The 16,196-nt window shown below is 41.2% G+C and overlaps 1 long non-coding RNA gene across 1 annotated transcript in view; it reads left to right on the forward strand.

Annotated features, from left to right (window-relative positions):
- Positions 1–6,863, forward strand: part of LOC107986787 (uncharacterized) — a 30,270-nt gene extending 23,407 nt beyond the window's left edge. Inside the window, exons 3-5 of the long non-coding RNA XR_001745183.2 lie at positions 5,479–5,594; positions 5,907–6,129; positions 6,753–6,863. This is a non-coding gene — a long non-coding RNA (uncharacterized LOC107986787). The remainder of the gene's footprint in view (positions 1–5,478; positions 5,595–5,906; positions 6,130–6,752) is intronic.
- Positions 6,864–16,196: the final 9,333 nt, after the last annotated feature.

A 16,196-nucleotide genomic window follows, 5' to 3' on the forward strand; every position in this document is an offset into this window, starting at 1 on the left:
AGGCTGGCAAAGCTACTCTGTGTGGACCGGCCGTGGCCATAAGAGCAGGGAACATGCGCTCTTAACCAGCACGATACACGGGACTGCCACCCTCGCATCACATATTGAGTTGACTGCATTAAGCCAGCCACTGTACTAGTTCACTTTTAGTTAGGATACTTATATTTTCTCATAATCCTCACAACCACCGATGAGTTGGGTATATTACTTTCCAATTTTTAGATGAAGAAGCTAAGATTCAGAAGTTAAGAAACTTGCTCAAAGTCACATAGCTAGTGGGTGGCAGAGCCAAGATGGTAACCGTAGTCTGCCCTGCTATACATCTAGGCCTCTTTTCCCACTACATTATGCTGTCCTGTATCCTGTACACAAATCATCTTCAAATGTATTAATTTTACTCTCTAAAAACATGAATTCAACACAGAATGGGTTGGTAAACATACCTTCCCTTTTGCTAGCCTGTTTCACAATTCACAAAACAAAAGATGAGCTGTCGCAAACATTTTTATATTTTGTTTCCATTTAACTCATTTGCCAAGACCTCCAAGTGGACTCTCACAGCGCTTTTAAAGAGGCATATTTTCTGTGACTCTTAGTCATCTGTCTGGTGTCCCTGGTCACCCATGTTTGGATTGGGAGGTGTCTTTTTCAGTTCATTTCATTTTGCATTCCTGTCACCTGAACACAGAACTTGCCAGAGTCCCTTGAAAAAAGTCCCAAGAGTCAGTCGCAAGACCTCATGGTGGTTATTAAATAGCACAGGCAGAATTCTGCCTTTTCAGCATGGGGTGTATAAAGGGAAGTCTGTAGAGAGAAAATGGTAAGCCTAGATACCTGAGCAAGGGTGATGACAAGCTCTGCAGAGGAGCCAAACATTTCATCCCATCCAATCTTAAGTAATACTGGGGCGCTTTGACATATTCCTGGCACAGCTTAGGGAGCCTTTCCCCCACCTTGACATGCTTATGTGCAAATAAATTCAAGCACTGCCCAAGGATAATAATTACAGAGAGTTTTGTGCAATAAGGAAAATTGCCTGTAAATATCTGACAGCTGATTTAGGCTCCATTTGAAGTGGTATGAAAACCAACATGTTCCATGAACTTACCCTTGCGTCAGAATCTCCTGGAGTAAAAGCTATTCCCAAGTTAGAAGCAAGGCACTATTGGAAGCTCTGTTAACCACTTCAGGGCCCTGTGATGAACAAAAGAGTGAGCTGGATGCATGGCTTCTGGTGCCTGCCACCGGTGCACCCCGTTAAGACTGTTCTATTGTTTTCCCTTTTACTCTGGGCCATGCACAGAGTCAGTAATAAAATGGAGCATTCTCAGTAAAACACGTCCTACTTCAGGGATGAGCCAAGTGCAGGCTTTCCCTTATTTCTACTGGCCTTGTAGCTCAGGTCTAGGAGCAACAAGAAACCTGCTTTACATAGCAATAATTAGCAAGAATTGCTGCCACATCTTCACTTTCTTGTCTCATTTGAGTCTTGGATATGAAACCCTTCCGGGAAAAGTTTCAGAAGATGAGAGGAAATTGCTCCTCTTCTTGCCGCATCCCGCTCCCCAGCCTCTTGCTGACACTCATCCTTCCCTCTTCACTTTGTGTCTTTATGAAAGACCTTGTTTCTCCATGCAGCCTAACCCTCCTTTCCTGCACTGGGCATTCTCAAGCTTCAAACTTCTTGGGACTTTGCTCAAACCCTTTGTTCCTCACCTCCTTTCATTGAGAAGCAACAAAAGTCATTTATCTCAACTTTTCCCTCCCCTGGCTACTCTTACTCTTGCCCTTTCTTTCAGTCATGATTCTTGAAATGGTCAGGACATAGCTGCTTTTTCTGCGCCTTCTTCCCCCAGCACTCTCTACCCAGTGGAATCTGCATTGCCCAAGTCACACTGAAGCTCCCTCCTCCTGAATCCAAAGGAAGGCTTTCCTGTCTCACCTTGCTGGAAGTCCTCACAGCCCCTTCTCCTTCCCACCATTCCCTGTGAGGAGGGTCTGACTCTGACTTCTGTACTCCTGCTCTCCTAGTGTTCCTCTCACTGTCTAGCCACTCCTTTGTGGTCCGTTCTATGGATCTGAATTCCCCCACAAAGGGTGTTCAATCATCCACAAACTTCAGAATCACCTGAGTGCTTGTGAAATGTGCAGCTTCCCGCTCACTCCTCAGACTCGATAGATTTGGGGCTAAGCATTATATATACAGTCAGATGTATATTTGGAAAGAATAAATACTCCTACACAATTTTGGAGGTTTGCCCAGGAACTTGCTTTTTTAAACAAGCACTCCAGTTGATTGTGGTGCTGGTGACCTGAGGGCCACACTTCGACAAACTCTGCCTGAAAACGAATACTCCTCAGGCTTCATCTGTAGCCCTCAGTGCTCCTAAGGGAACCCCCTTTATGCCCACCGTGACTTCAACTCCCACCTACCCACTGCTGTCTCCCCAGACTTTTTTTCTAACTCAGCTCCCTCCCTCTTTCTCTCTCTCTGTGTTTCCTTGTCTCTGTATATTTCTTTCTCTTTCCCTCTCATTGTTTCTCTCTCTGCTTCTTTCTCTTCTCTCTCTGTTGCTCTCTCTCTCTTTTTCTCTCTCTCTCCTCCCTTCTCCCTCTCTTTCTGTCTCTCTGTATGTTTCTGTATCTCTCTCTCCTCCATCCTCCCTTCCTTCTCTCTCTCTCTGGGTTTATAGTTGCAACTTCCTGCATGATATCTCTAAATGGATGTTACACAAGATACTGCAGTTTAACAACTCAAACTGATCTCATTGCCTCTCAAGCCAAACAACCAAAATAAGTGTAATAAAAACACATACACATATGCAAACAAAAACCCAGCTCTGTTGCTCTTGTTACTCCTAACTCTTAATGATGCCTTGGCAGTCACTCAATGATCATCACCCTATGACCTTATGACCCAAGCCTGGAGTCTGTCATTCTCACAGCCAATCATCTCAAGACCTCTTGATTCTATTTCTGTAACAACTCTTAAATCAGCCTCCTTTGCTGCTCATTAATGCCTCATTATGACACAGTGCATGTTCACAGTGATCTCTCAATTACTCTCCATGTCTTTGTTCTCACCCCTCAATCTATCCAAGTGGGTCATTCTGAAGCGAGCCAATGATTGAAAGCCCTTAAGAAGGGCATTTAAATCTATAGAAGAGTCCAGAAAGGGCTGGTTAGACAGTGAGGGGAACTCCGCGAGAGCAGGAGTGCAGAAGTCACAGAATCAGACCCTCCTCACAGGGAGTGGTGGGAAGGAGGGGGGACCGCGAGTATGTTCAGCAAAGCAAAACAGGAAAGCCTTTCTTTGGATTCAGCAGAGGGGAGCTTCAGGGTGACTTAGGCAATTCCCCTGGATAGAGAGGGCTGGAGAAGGGCGCACAGAAAAAGCATCTATGTCCCGACCATTTTTTGTCTCACCCCTTGTTATCAAAGTGGCCTTTCTAGGTGGAAATCTGTTCACATCACACCCTTGCAAAAAGAGAGGCTCCTGCAGGCTGATGTCAGAAGCCTCCTTCGGCTTCCAGGGCCCTTAAGGTACAGCCCTTCCTCCAGCCCCACAGTGCACTCCGAACTGTCTGGCTGAAGCTCCCTAGAGCTTCCTCACATGCTTCTCTGCTTCCTCACATGTCATTCCCTTAAACTGAAATGGTGTTTTGTACAATTTTTATCCAGGCTTTCTCTTCTTACCCAATGATAATAATGATAATAATAGGTAGCATTTAATGAATGCTTACTGGATGCAAATCATTATGTGACACACATCTTATTTAACCTTCATAATTGTTGAGTTTAATATTATTGTTCTGAATTTACTGAAAGAAAACAGCACAAAAAAGTTAACTAACATGGCTGAGATCAGACAGATAGTAAATGATGGAGCCCTTATTCAAGTTCCAGTGGATGAACTCTAGAACCCATCCACTTAACCTTGACATTAGATCAGTGACTGCTTCCTCTAGGGAGCTATTCCCTATTGTCTTTCCCACCCCAGCCTAGTCCTGCCTTTCTCTGTTCCCAAGACACCCTTCCCTAGGCTCTGCCATTGTACTTATCTCACTCTGCTTGACAAATCCACTCTCCTTCAACCAGGCTCTGATTTCCTTGGGAGCAGGGAGTATGTCATTGACTTTGATATCTCCAGAACCTAGCACAGCTTATGGAACGTGACAGAGGCTTGATTAAATGCCTATGATTGAACAATTAAGATGAAGTGAGAAAGAGAGAGAGAACATTGAGAGAAACTCTATGTAGTATTCATCTTTATACTCATAGTATTTCCCACAATGCCATGTACAATGTAGCCACTAAAAGAAAAGATATGTTGAAGTGAATTGAAATGTAGGTAAGTCTCACAAATCCTTGAAATGAGATGAGGCTGATAATTTGATTAGGAATCAATGAGTCAAACAGCCAGATCTTTTTTAAGGAGAGAAAGAAAAGAGAAAGAGGAAGAACAAAGAGAAAGAGAGAGTAAGGGAAAGAGAAAGAGAGAGGAAGGGAAAGAGATCTTTGAGCGGCTCTATGCTTTATTTATCTTTGTACCCTAACAGTATTTCCCACAACACTGTATTCAATATCTCCTCAAACTACAGGAATAACTATTTGAAAACATTATACTTGCCTTAAAACATGCACTATATTAACTGTACACAAATATCTTCTTTAGTGAAAATCCATTCACTCATTGGAACATGACTGCCTTTTTCAAATAGCATATTTACTTAGAACCACTGACTTAATAGATGTGTGAGTCTAGTCTTAAAGTTCTAAACAGATAGACATCCTTGTTCTCTTCTACAAAAAGTGTCGTGCCCTTTATGCTGAAGCCCTACTCTTTCATTATTTTTTCCTAATTACATCTCCCTTTTCTGAACAACTCTTCCATTAATTAATTAAAACAATGATTCATTGCCTCATCAAATATATACTGAGTGCCCCCTTTGTGTTCAGGCATTAGGAGCATGTTGTTGAGCAAACTAGGCATGATCTCTGTCCTCAATAAGTTCACCATCCTATGATCTACTAGGGGTAGACCAAAAATTAAACATTTAATAAATGCCTAGGCTGGCACAGTGGCCCATGCCAATAATCTCAGCACTTTGGGAGACTGAGGTGGGAGGATTGCTTGAGGCCAGGAGTTCAAGACCAGCCTGGGAAACATAGTGAGACCCCATCTCTACAAAAAATTAAAGCAAAATAGTTGAAAAGGGTCACTCGATCCCAGGAGTTCAAGGCTGCAGTGGACTATGGTTGGGCCACCACACTCCAGCCTGAATAACAGAGCAAGATCCTGTCTCTAAATAAATAAATACCTAAATATATATCATTTAAAAGCAAAAAAGTTTGTGATGGAGACGTCAGAGTTGATACCTAAACTTATTATCTGTGCCTTTCAGCTGCAGTCATAAGAGAGTGTTGCCTTAAATTATTATTTAAAATGTTTTATGTGCACCTGTTTTTCTCAACCAGATTGCACACATCTTTAGGACAGACTGAAGCTGTGGTTTCCCTGTAGCTGATGGGGTGACTACATTATTAAGAAGACTCTGATGGAAGTGGCCCATTCAGTTGTTTCTGGAAAACAGGTAAATTTGGCCAGTGGAAATCAAGGCTAAAGACAGTCTGTGCTGAGAAAATAATGTAAGCAAAGACATAGAGACAAATATTTCCAAGTATGTTTTGAGAATGTGGCAAAGACAATGTTACACATTTGCCAAACTGTTTCATTTTCCTCCTAAGCTCATAGCTGGGCTTTATTCCCCAGCCCACGTTACCACTAAATGGGGCAATGTGAGCAAATTTTAGTCAATGAAGTACAGGCAAAAGTGATATAAAACACTTCCAAGCCTCATCTAGGACATTCCACATACGGGCTTCCCTCATCATTTTCCTGACAGGTGCAAAGGATCCTATGGAGACTCCTAGGTGCCCCTGGGATCATGGAACCATGAAGAGGAAGCCCCTTTGTTGGCCATATGGGAGATCACTCTTGGGATACACAACTGGGTTGTGACATGAGCAAAGACCGAACCTGTTATTGAGCTAAGCATTGCGATATGAAGTTGTTGATTTATCACAGCAATTAGTCTACCCTGACTACCTTCAGGAGCCGAGGCCACTGTGAGTACCTATTCTTTGATGGAGAATCTATAGGAAAAGCAGACAGATTTCATTTATTTAACTGTTTTAACATTATCAGCTGCCCTGCCAAGAGGCTGATAAACTCATTTTAACATACACTCATGTTAAGGTAGCTGCAAAAAATCTGAAGGTCAGAAATATGTTATCCACAATGACAACTAGGAGCTAGCTGAGTGTCTGTTACATAGTTGGCCATCAGTAAGTATCCCTTGAGGAAACTAGTGTGGGAGATCAACTCAGCAAAGGTTCAGACGGAAGTAATGAGGTCAGTGTTCCGAGGATGGAAACTCAGGTGCCAGTCCGAGTTAATCAAACCATCATGCATAATCACAGAGTTAGCAGCAAAGGCCACCGAGCAGCAGGGCCAGGGTGGACCCTGGCAGCTGGACCATGCATCTCTCACCAAATTCAGTCTTTGGCCAAAGCCCACACAATTCAGGTCCCCATACTCTAAATTTGTTCAAAGGAATATAACGTTAAGTTTACACAAGTCTCTTTATACATGAATTTAATCATGAGCTATGGCAGGATAGGCTTGGACAGGTAGTAATTGGGTTCATCTCTGTGGCACAAAACTTGATGAGAGTGATTTGACCACATAGATGCTGTTCTCGCAAAACAAGCCATCTGGAGGTCAGCGTTCCAGGACTGGAGCAGCAGCCTTATGATGTCACCAGGAACCCCCCCCCCACCGCCCCAGCTCCCTCTGTCATCCTGCCCCCTTGTCCTTGGCACATGGTTTTCATCCGCATTCTGCTGGCCCACTTTTGCATGATAATTGCTTCATACCCATCTCCATATCAGTGCTGAAAATGAGACAAAACAAGGAATAGGTGACTTTTTTCAAGAAAGCAATAGCTTTCCCAGGACCCCATCAGATATTAGCTTATGTCTGTTTAGCCAAATCTGTGTGAGATGGACACCCTTGCCTCACTGGACTTTAGGAAGTGATTCTCTTTTTTTAGACAGGTTCTCACTCTGTCACCCATGATTATAGCTCACTGCAGCCACAAACTCCTGAGCTCAAGCCATCCTCCCACCTCAGCCTCCCAGGTAGCTAGGACTACAGGTGCATATCATTGTGCCCAGTTAATTTTTTGTTTGTTTGTTTGAGACGGAGTCTCACCCTGTCACCCAGGCTGGAGTGCAGTGGCGTGATCTCGGCTCACTGCAACCTCCGCCCCCCGGGTTCAAGCGATTCTCCTCCCTCAGCCTCCTGAGTAGCTGGAATTACAGGCTCGTGCCACTACCATCTGGCTAATTTTTTTATTTTTATTAGAGACACGGTTTTGCTGTGTTGTACAGGCTGGTTTTCGAACTCCTGACCTGGTTCCACCTTGGCCTCCCAAAGTGCTGGGATTACAGGTGTGAGCCACCATGCCTGGCCGTGCCCAGCTAATTTTTTAAATTTTGTTGTAGAGATAGGGTCTCATGATGTTGCCCAGGCTGGGGAAGTGATATTTTATTTGGGCATATTTACTATCCAAATAAAGTTGAATTTCTGTTACTAAAAATCAAGACATCGACAGATATTTAGTAGACAACTAAGATAATCTATGAGACCCAAGAATTCACTCATTCATTAAGTGTGGGGATATAATGGGATGCTAGTACAGGCATGACCTTGTCTTCAAGGGGTTTACAGCTACTGGGGGAAAACTAAGCACATTAGTTAATACAGAATAATAGACTGAAGTAACTGTCCCAGAGAAAGAATATGGCCCTATGTACATAATAAGCAGCCTCCTTCAGTGTGGAGTGTTAAGACACATCTCCATGGAGGAACAAATGAGTTGAAGTCTAAAAAGTTAGTAAAGTTTCACATATGACAAAGTGTGTGGGGGTGTATGTATATGTATGTGGAAAGAACTTTCCAGAAAAAGAAAGACGGGTATGTGAAAAAGAATCTTATATGGAAGAGACAGAATGGCAAATCTAAGAAACTGGAAATATATATATATATTTATACTTATATATAATATAATAAGTAAATATTTATATGTAATATATGTGTATATTCTTATACGTATATAGCTACAGATGAAATAAAGAATAGACAACAGTAGTATAGGATGGGGGCATTTCAAGGCCTTATAAGAAAAACTATCTAAGGATTTGACACAGGAAGTTGGGAACACCATATTTGCCTTGAGAAAAGATCACTCTGCTGTGGTATAAAGGGTCAATGGGAGGCACAATAAAGAGATTGCTATAGACTGAGTCTCTGTGTCCTCCCCAAATTCATGGTTGAAACCTAATGCCCAATGCGATGGGATTTGCAGGTGGGGTTTTGGGAGGTTATTAGGCCAAGATAGTGGAACCATCATGGAAGGTATTAATTCCCTTACAAAAGAGGCCCCAGAGAGCTCCTCACCATTTCCATGATGTAAGGGCTCAGCCAGAAGACAGCCCTCTATGAACCAAGAGAGGGGCCCTCACCAGCCACTGAATCTGCTGTGTCTTTGTCTTGGACTTTCCAGCCTCCAGAACTGTGAGAAATAAATTTCTGTTGTTTATAAGCCGACCAGTCTATTGTGCTTTGTTAGAGCAGGCCTGGATGGACCAAGGCAGAGATGTCTTGATAATGATACTGGAGGTCCAGGTGAGAGGCAGTGGTGGCTTGGACTGGGGTGCTAGCTGGGATCATAAAGATAAATTAGATAGAACTTTTTAAGATATCTGAAGCCAAAAAGAATGAAACTTGTTGATAAATTGCAAAATAAAAAACTTTTTAAAAACACTAATCAATATCATACAAGATACTGAACTCATGAAACAAGAATGGGATTTATTTTTTAAAAGAAAGAAAAGAAGATTCAGAAAACAAAAAACAGCTCTTGGAACTTAAACATGTGATGGTAGACATTAAAAAATACCCAAAGGAAGTATACAATATAAAATTGAGAAACTCTTTGAGAAATTAGAACAAAAGATAGAAATTAGAAGATTTTTAAAAAGAAAAACATCCAAATCTGTATTATCTCAATAAAAAGAATTTCAAAAAGAAAGAATATAGAAAAAAGAAAGAAGAAAATCATTAAAAAATACTATAAGAAAAATGGCTAGAAACCAAACATGCATCTGTAAATTTGAAGAACCAGAAAGTGTCCAGCAAAAGAAAACAGAGCCACACTAAGACCTGGGAAAGTTTAAAACACCAGGGACTACAAGAAGATTGTAAAGATTCTAGAAATGGGGAAAGGGTGGCAGGGCAGAAGGAAGAAGAATAGGAAACACAGATCACACGCAAATGATCGGGGATCGAGATGATGCTAGCCTTGCACGCAGTCTCAGTGGAAGCTGGAAAGCATTGAGTCCATGCCTTATAAATGCTGAATAAATGGGTGGTGCTTTGTAGCACAACTTGACATTTTAAACTAGACACAAAAATGAATTGCTTGGAGAAATTTTCTTTATGTTAAGTAAATTGAAACAATTATCTTGGAATTTATAGTGAATCATATTGAAGAATTATATTAAATGTATCAAAATTAGGAGCATAGATGCCACAGATGTCCTTAGCAAGAGCTGTCTCACCAGTATTGGGGCTAACGCCAGATTAGGGTGAGTTAAGGAGTGTGTGGGAGGTGACAAAGTGTAGCCCACAATTTCAGCCAAGGGAGAATTCATTAATTAAGTCATTAGTATGAGAAACTTCTGAGCATGTTTAATACCAATGGAAATAATCCAGTTGAGAAGGGCAGTGGGATGAACAGGACAGAGCAGACGTTATTGATAGTATCTAAGCAGAGAGTAAATGACCTTAGATAAAACAAGACATGCTCTCATCTGCCATAACAGGAAGGACAAAATGGAGGCTGGAGAAGACCTTGGCAGGCTTTAGTTTGGGAACATGTTGAAGGAGTTCTATCAGAGCAGGAAAGGTTTGAAATACTCATGCACAAAGTGGGGGAGCAAAAGAACTGTGCCTGGACTCAGAGGGCAGATGAGCATCTCCCAAGGGCTTTCTTTCATTCTTGAACTTGGCCTATCACCATAAAACTGTAATTCTCTCATACTGACCTGTCAGAAACTACCTAGGGCCTACTGTAGTGAAAGTAAATAGAAAAAGTACCTGAAGAGATGGGACTTGCCCTGTGTTGGTTCATAAAAGAGAATTTAAGCATATACTGCAAACTGAAAAACGGTGAGCTTCTTCAGGGCAAGAACCAAGTCCTGTATTTCTATCTTAAACACCTAATGTTCTGAAAGTTAGTCACTTGTCCACAAACACTTTGCTGAGGAAGAAAATGAATAATTAAAGGGATAGTCTCTTTTGCCTTCTTTTGCTTGTCAAAGTCCTAGTAACTTTCTTACTTTGGATAAATAGAAACTTGCCCAAGTATTGCTAAAGACAATGGTAAGTGGAGAGGGAGAGATAAATATGTCCAAAAACTTAAGGCGGAGATGTACAATATGCAGACTTTGTAAAGAGAACTTTTTTGTTCACATTAAACATATCAGGCACATTGACCATGTTGCTGAATATCCCACAGTTATGACTACTAATATGGTTAGTTCACCTCATTTCATTTCCAGCCAAACAGGAAAATAATGTTTATTACAGAGGCTAAAGATTTAGCAGAGTCAACTTTGTGTTTTTAGGCAACAGGAAAGAATAGTGGCACAAATCTTTAAACAGAAAATTTATTTCAAAAAAATCACTTCTATCTGATTTTGAATACTTTAGTGATTATCCCATTTCTTTGCTCCCATGTGAAAATTAGCCTATATTTCTTCACCACCTCAAAGCCTATTGAGTGTCAAGAAGCAGCAAGGCTGAAAGTAGAGGTACTTTTTGAAATATATATTGAAGGAGTAATATTCTCGATTAAATTATTCCAAAAATCCAAAGACCTCAGTTCAGTTCTTCTGTCTTAATACAATTTTCTGCAACAAATTGTGTCAAACATCTGAGCAGAAACAAGTCACAGGTTAGATTTCTTGGTGGCAAAAGGAAGCGTCTTTTAAAAGTTGTAACTAAAAATAAGAAGTGATCTATGGGGTAGAGTGGGATGGGAGGAAGGACTGGTGGGTGGGAAAGAGCAGTGCTCAGACCCCTTCAAGGTCTACCACACTGCTGGTGAGAAAAGGCCTGGAGAAAGGGCCTCCACAAAAGGCAAGTGGAGAATGAGCAGACATGTGGTCCAGCATGGTGGCTGTTGGCAAGACAGAGGAGTGCTGGTTATACCTGCTGCAAAATTCTCATAGGATATCCCAGCAGGGAGTGCCATGGTGGAAGGGGAGTGTTGGAGTTCCAGGGCTGGGCATGGACATCAGGGCGAGGCTCGTGTTGGGAGAAGATGATGCAAGTGGGTGAAGCTGAAATAAAAGGGAGCAGCATATTGGAACATGACAGTCCAATTACTGACTTTGAGGACTAGTCCATGGAATGCAAGACGGGTGGTCACAATAAACCCAAACTAAAGAGACTCCAGAGACATGAAGAGAAAAAAGAGAACCTGGTAAGCCTGAAACCCACGTTGTCACATTCAGTCCCTCGTACTGGTTACTCTCAAAGAAGCCTGTCTGCAAAAGCAGCCCTGGCTTCCCACTTGCTGTATTGATTACATCTCCTCTCCATGGGTGGTGGGGCCAAAGCTCCAAATGAGATTCTTCTCCAAACGTCTAAAGTTTCATGTTCTTTGCTTTATTTCTTGCCAACGTAGGAGTAAAGTTGTGTTGAAAATGACTGTCTCGCTATGGAAAAGTGACTCTGTGAAGAGGAATTCAGCATTCTCGGCCAAACCAAGAAGGCCATTAATTTATACCATAAAACGGACAGCCAGAGAGTACAAGAAGTGACACTGCTGTGCTCAGAAGCTTCTTGCAAGTGTAAACAAAAACCTTGGTTGTTGCTGGTGACTGGCTGTTTTTCAGAATCTGACCAAGTTTTAGAATGGAAACAATCAAGTAGTGATGTCAATGTCCCCCTGGGGTCTAAACATCTTTTCTAACCTTATTTCCACCCATTACTTGGCTCTATCCATATAACGGAGTATAGCGTGATGCCTGTTGAAACAAATGAGACGGAATGCAAAGTCATCTGCACCCTAATTGACAAAGAATGGATTAGATATTTGGGGGTAGGGGTGTGTATGGGTGTGTCTCAACTCTCTACTATGCAGCAAGGATCCACACTTTGGTGGAGACTTTTCATTAAATGATGCTTACTTTGTGTCCCGTGGTCTCGCAAAGGTCCTCCACAGCTGCCAGTATAGTCACACAGCTTAAAGCCTTATAAACATGTGGTTTATTCCCCAGGGTTCTCTGCCCTGAACTTCTTATCATTGACAATGGGGCCTGTGTTACAGAAGCCTAAGGTTGTGGCTAATTCTCCTATGTCGTTAGAAAGAAGAGGGAAAAACATTCCTTGACCTTTAAATAGAAAGTTATGCACATGAACATAAAAAGATGGTAATAATGAAAGTATTCTTTAGAATGGTGGTGCCCTGGAAACTAATAACCACTCTTAGAGCCACAAAGAAGAGCAACTTATTGCAACTGAGTTTACTTTGTGTTCAAAGATTGCCACTGGCTTATTTCTCTTTGATTGTTGTACTCTTCAGTGTGATGGTTTTCTTCAGGCACACACATGCAGCCGGTAGAAGCAGGGAACATGCTCAATACATGATCAGATGGATACCTGTATATCCCATAGAGAGCAAATTCAACTTGTCATAGGGTGCTGTTACCTGGTGACCCAATATTATATGCAACTGAAGCCTCCTTTCACTCTCAAATGTATCCCAATTTAGATGATAGATAATATGGTCACCCTCTTTAGTCACCTCTTTATCTGATTTTCTATCAGATACTCAAATCTCTGTGTTCTGGAGAGGTTATCACAAGAGGAAGACAACATGGGGTGATGATGACAGGTTTCCCCAAGCATCTGAATGCTGTCTTACCACTTCAGAGGTCCATGAAAAACAGATTTCAGCTCATTATCTAGATAAAGTTCTATTGATATAACCTGACCCAAAAGGGAAAAGGCTATGCTGATAGGCAGTGAAAGCATTCAAGCCAAGGACTGGAAGATCATCTCTCAGAGATGCCACTGACAGTTCGTGTTGGATCATTGGCTAACAAACCACTGTAAGATGCATAGAACCCATTGGAGAGCGTGAAACAACCAGTCCTCATCTTCATGAATTCCGTTTCACTGGGGTGATGTGGACCCCAGGAATATGCATTTTTCTTCTGTTAATTGTAAAAATGAAATATGAAATAGCATAAGAAAGTTAAAGTTGTCTGAAATCTCATCAACCATCAACAGTCAGTGGCCACTCTTTCCTACATTGCTACACAAATTATACCACTGAAGAGGTTTTATTATAATATTATTTGTGAGTTTTTTTCACTCATTTCTCCTCTTTCCACCTGAGTATCAGCAGTGTTATAAACCTGATATATACTCTTTTATAAATCATTCTCCATGTTAACATAATCATAGACAAAAGAACAAATATATACATGCGTGTAAATAATGGTTTTGTCTTTATTTTTCTAAATAGTGTTGTATTAGGCACACTTTCCAACATTTTGCTTTTTTTCCCACTTAATGCACAGAAAGCTGCCAAATCAACTCATATTGGTATTATTAATTCTCTTTAAGGTCTTGAAATTCTCCTATGATATGACTACTTTTGAGAACTCACTCTGCAGTTTTTTTGGCACTAGCCATAATGCTGCAATTAACATCTTTTTGCCAGCATTTTAAAGACCTGCTTTATTTTCCAGGGAATAGATTCCAAAGGCTGAGGTTGCCAGTCAAGGAATGTGTGTTCTTTTTGTGTGAATAGATATTTCCAGATTGTTCTCCTATCCACCAACAATGTGTGAGGGGATGCCTTTCTCCACATCCCAGCCAGTAGTATTGGTTCCCACTTTTTTTCATATTTACCAGTTTGATGGGTTTTATACTTCATTGTTACTTTAATTTCCATTTTTCTGATCTGTAGTGAAGTTAAGCATCTTTTCATATGTTTATTGACTTTTTGGATTCTCTCTTTGTAAAGAGCTTATTCATACCCTTTGCTCACTTTTCTTTTGGGCTGTTTCTAAGAGTTCTTTCTTTATTATAGGAATAAATCCTTTATCTGTCATACAAGTTGAAAATATTTTTCTGAGTTTATGATTTATATTTTAATTTTGTTTATGGTTTCTTTTGCACCATTTAAAACTTTATTTATATATAACTATGTGTATCTTTTCTTTTGTGGATTCCTGGTTTGCTCTTTCAGTCATGACTCAACCATTAGGCTTGTCACTATGATGGAGAAACACTCATCTAGAAGATCTCAAAGTTCCCTTCATGCTGTTAATTTTATGACTGTAAGTCTAAGATACTACTCCCATCTTTCAAATTCAAATGCTATGGAATGAGATCTTGCTGTCAGATTTTAAGGTAGATAACAAACAAGAAAGTGAAATGAGAAGCTAGGCAGCTCATGAACAAACAGGCCATCTGTAAAATTTTAATACAACTTCAAGAAACCTAGCCATGTGCCATCTTATCAAATTCAAAGGTAATTGTCCTCAAGAGAAAAAAGAAGCCACCACAGGCCATTGAATGAACGCTACATTCTTGGGGGCACTAATGACCAGGAACTCCTTCATTCCAGCATTTTCTTCAGGCTTGCTAGGGCAATGCTGGCAACCAAAGTCTATTCTTTCTTTGGCTCGTAATGCCCAATAGCCAGCATAGACGGTGTTTACCTCAAAGGGAAAGTCTGATATGAATGAAACCCAGCAAATGAAACCATAGCTCTGAATATTACTTTTTTTCTAAAAGAAACCTAGAAGGTATTACTTGCCAGATTTCCATCTCTGGTGAAAAATATGCAGGATTTAATTGATTCCTGCAGAATCTCTTAAGCCAACGAAAGGGATATGTCTCAGAGAAACTTCCTTGTTGGCTGTTTTACACGTATGTGCGCGCACACACACAGAGACACACCACTGCCCTGAGACTTCACAGCCAGACTCCTGAGCTTGCCGACTTACCAAACCAAGTCTGAGTCATCAGTTTTCCAGACCCCATCCCTCAGGATAATTGAGACACCAGTGGTCATCCCCTTAACCATCTCTCCAACCCTTCCTTAAAGTAATCTTTGTACTTTAACAAGTGCTACAAAGCCGAAAAGCAAGACCCTTCTGCTAAAGTTATTTAGTGGTTTTTTTTAAAAAAAAAAGAAGTATAAATTTGGCAGTGAGGATTTACACAGGGTAAAGGCAAACTAAACTCTACTTCCAGGGTATGCGCTTCCACCTAATGTTTCTGTGCGTTTAAACCCCTGTTCCCTCCAAATGAATAATGGGAGCTCACTGTGCTGATTTAAGTGACAGTCCCAGGTGCTCTAACTTCAGAGTTCTTTAATACAGAGAGATTTTTCACCCTGCTTGGAATGGTCCAGATTCCTCCTTTCCCTGCTTTCATAGGGAAGCAGCTGAGTGTTGTCTTAGGAATTCACAACCCCGTGCAGATCGGTGCCCCTGTAGCTCCAGGACTGAGAACCTCAGCTGCATTTGCAGTTCTTCCTAGCAATTTTCTTCCACCATCAGCTTCCTCTTTCATCATAACATCAGCCTTCCCAAGGGGCCAACACTGTCCCCAAACATCCAAACTGCCTCTCAGAACTGGATGCCATCAACGTTATGACCCCACAAATTATAAGCAAATCTAATGCCCCACTTAATGCTTTCCTTGCTGCCTCAGGGAAGGAAGTACTCCACCTCTCAATCAAACCTCCTCCTTATACCTGTGCTCTGGGCTTCCCATCTCTGCTACTACCATAATCTATTAATTATATTAATATTATCCCCTTTCTTATGGCTTGAATCTATCCAGTTCTCTATCTGTCCTTTCTCGTCAGCCGACAGACATGGGCTGGTCTGTTCCAAGTGTGCCAAGTTTACTTTTTCTCTTGCAGACACTCTCTCTCATCCTTGAAAGAACAGATTCCTCTTGCTATCTTTCTTTTACCGCTCCAATGACAGACCTGTCCCCATTCATTTCTATCCTTACTAGAGTAAAATATGTT

Source organism: Homo sapiens, chromosome 7 (assembly GCF_000001405.40).
Source record: "Homo sapiens chromosome 7, GRCh38.p14 Primary Assembly".
Classification (NCBI taxonomy): domain Eukaryota; kingdom Metazoa; phylum Chordata; class Mammalia; order Primates; family Hominidae; genus Homo; species Homo sapiens.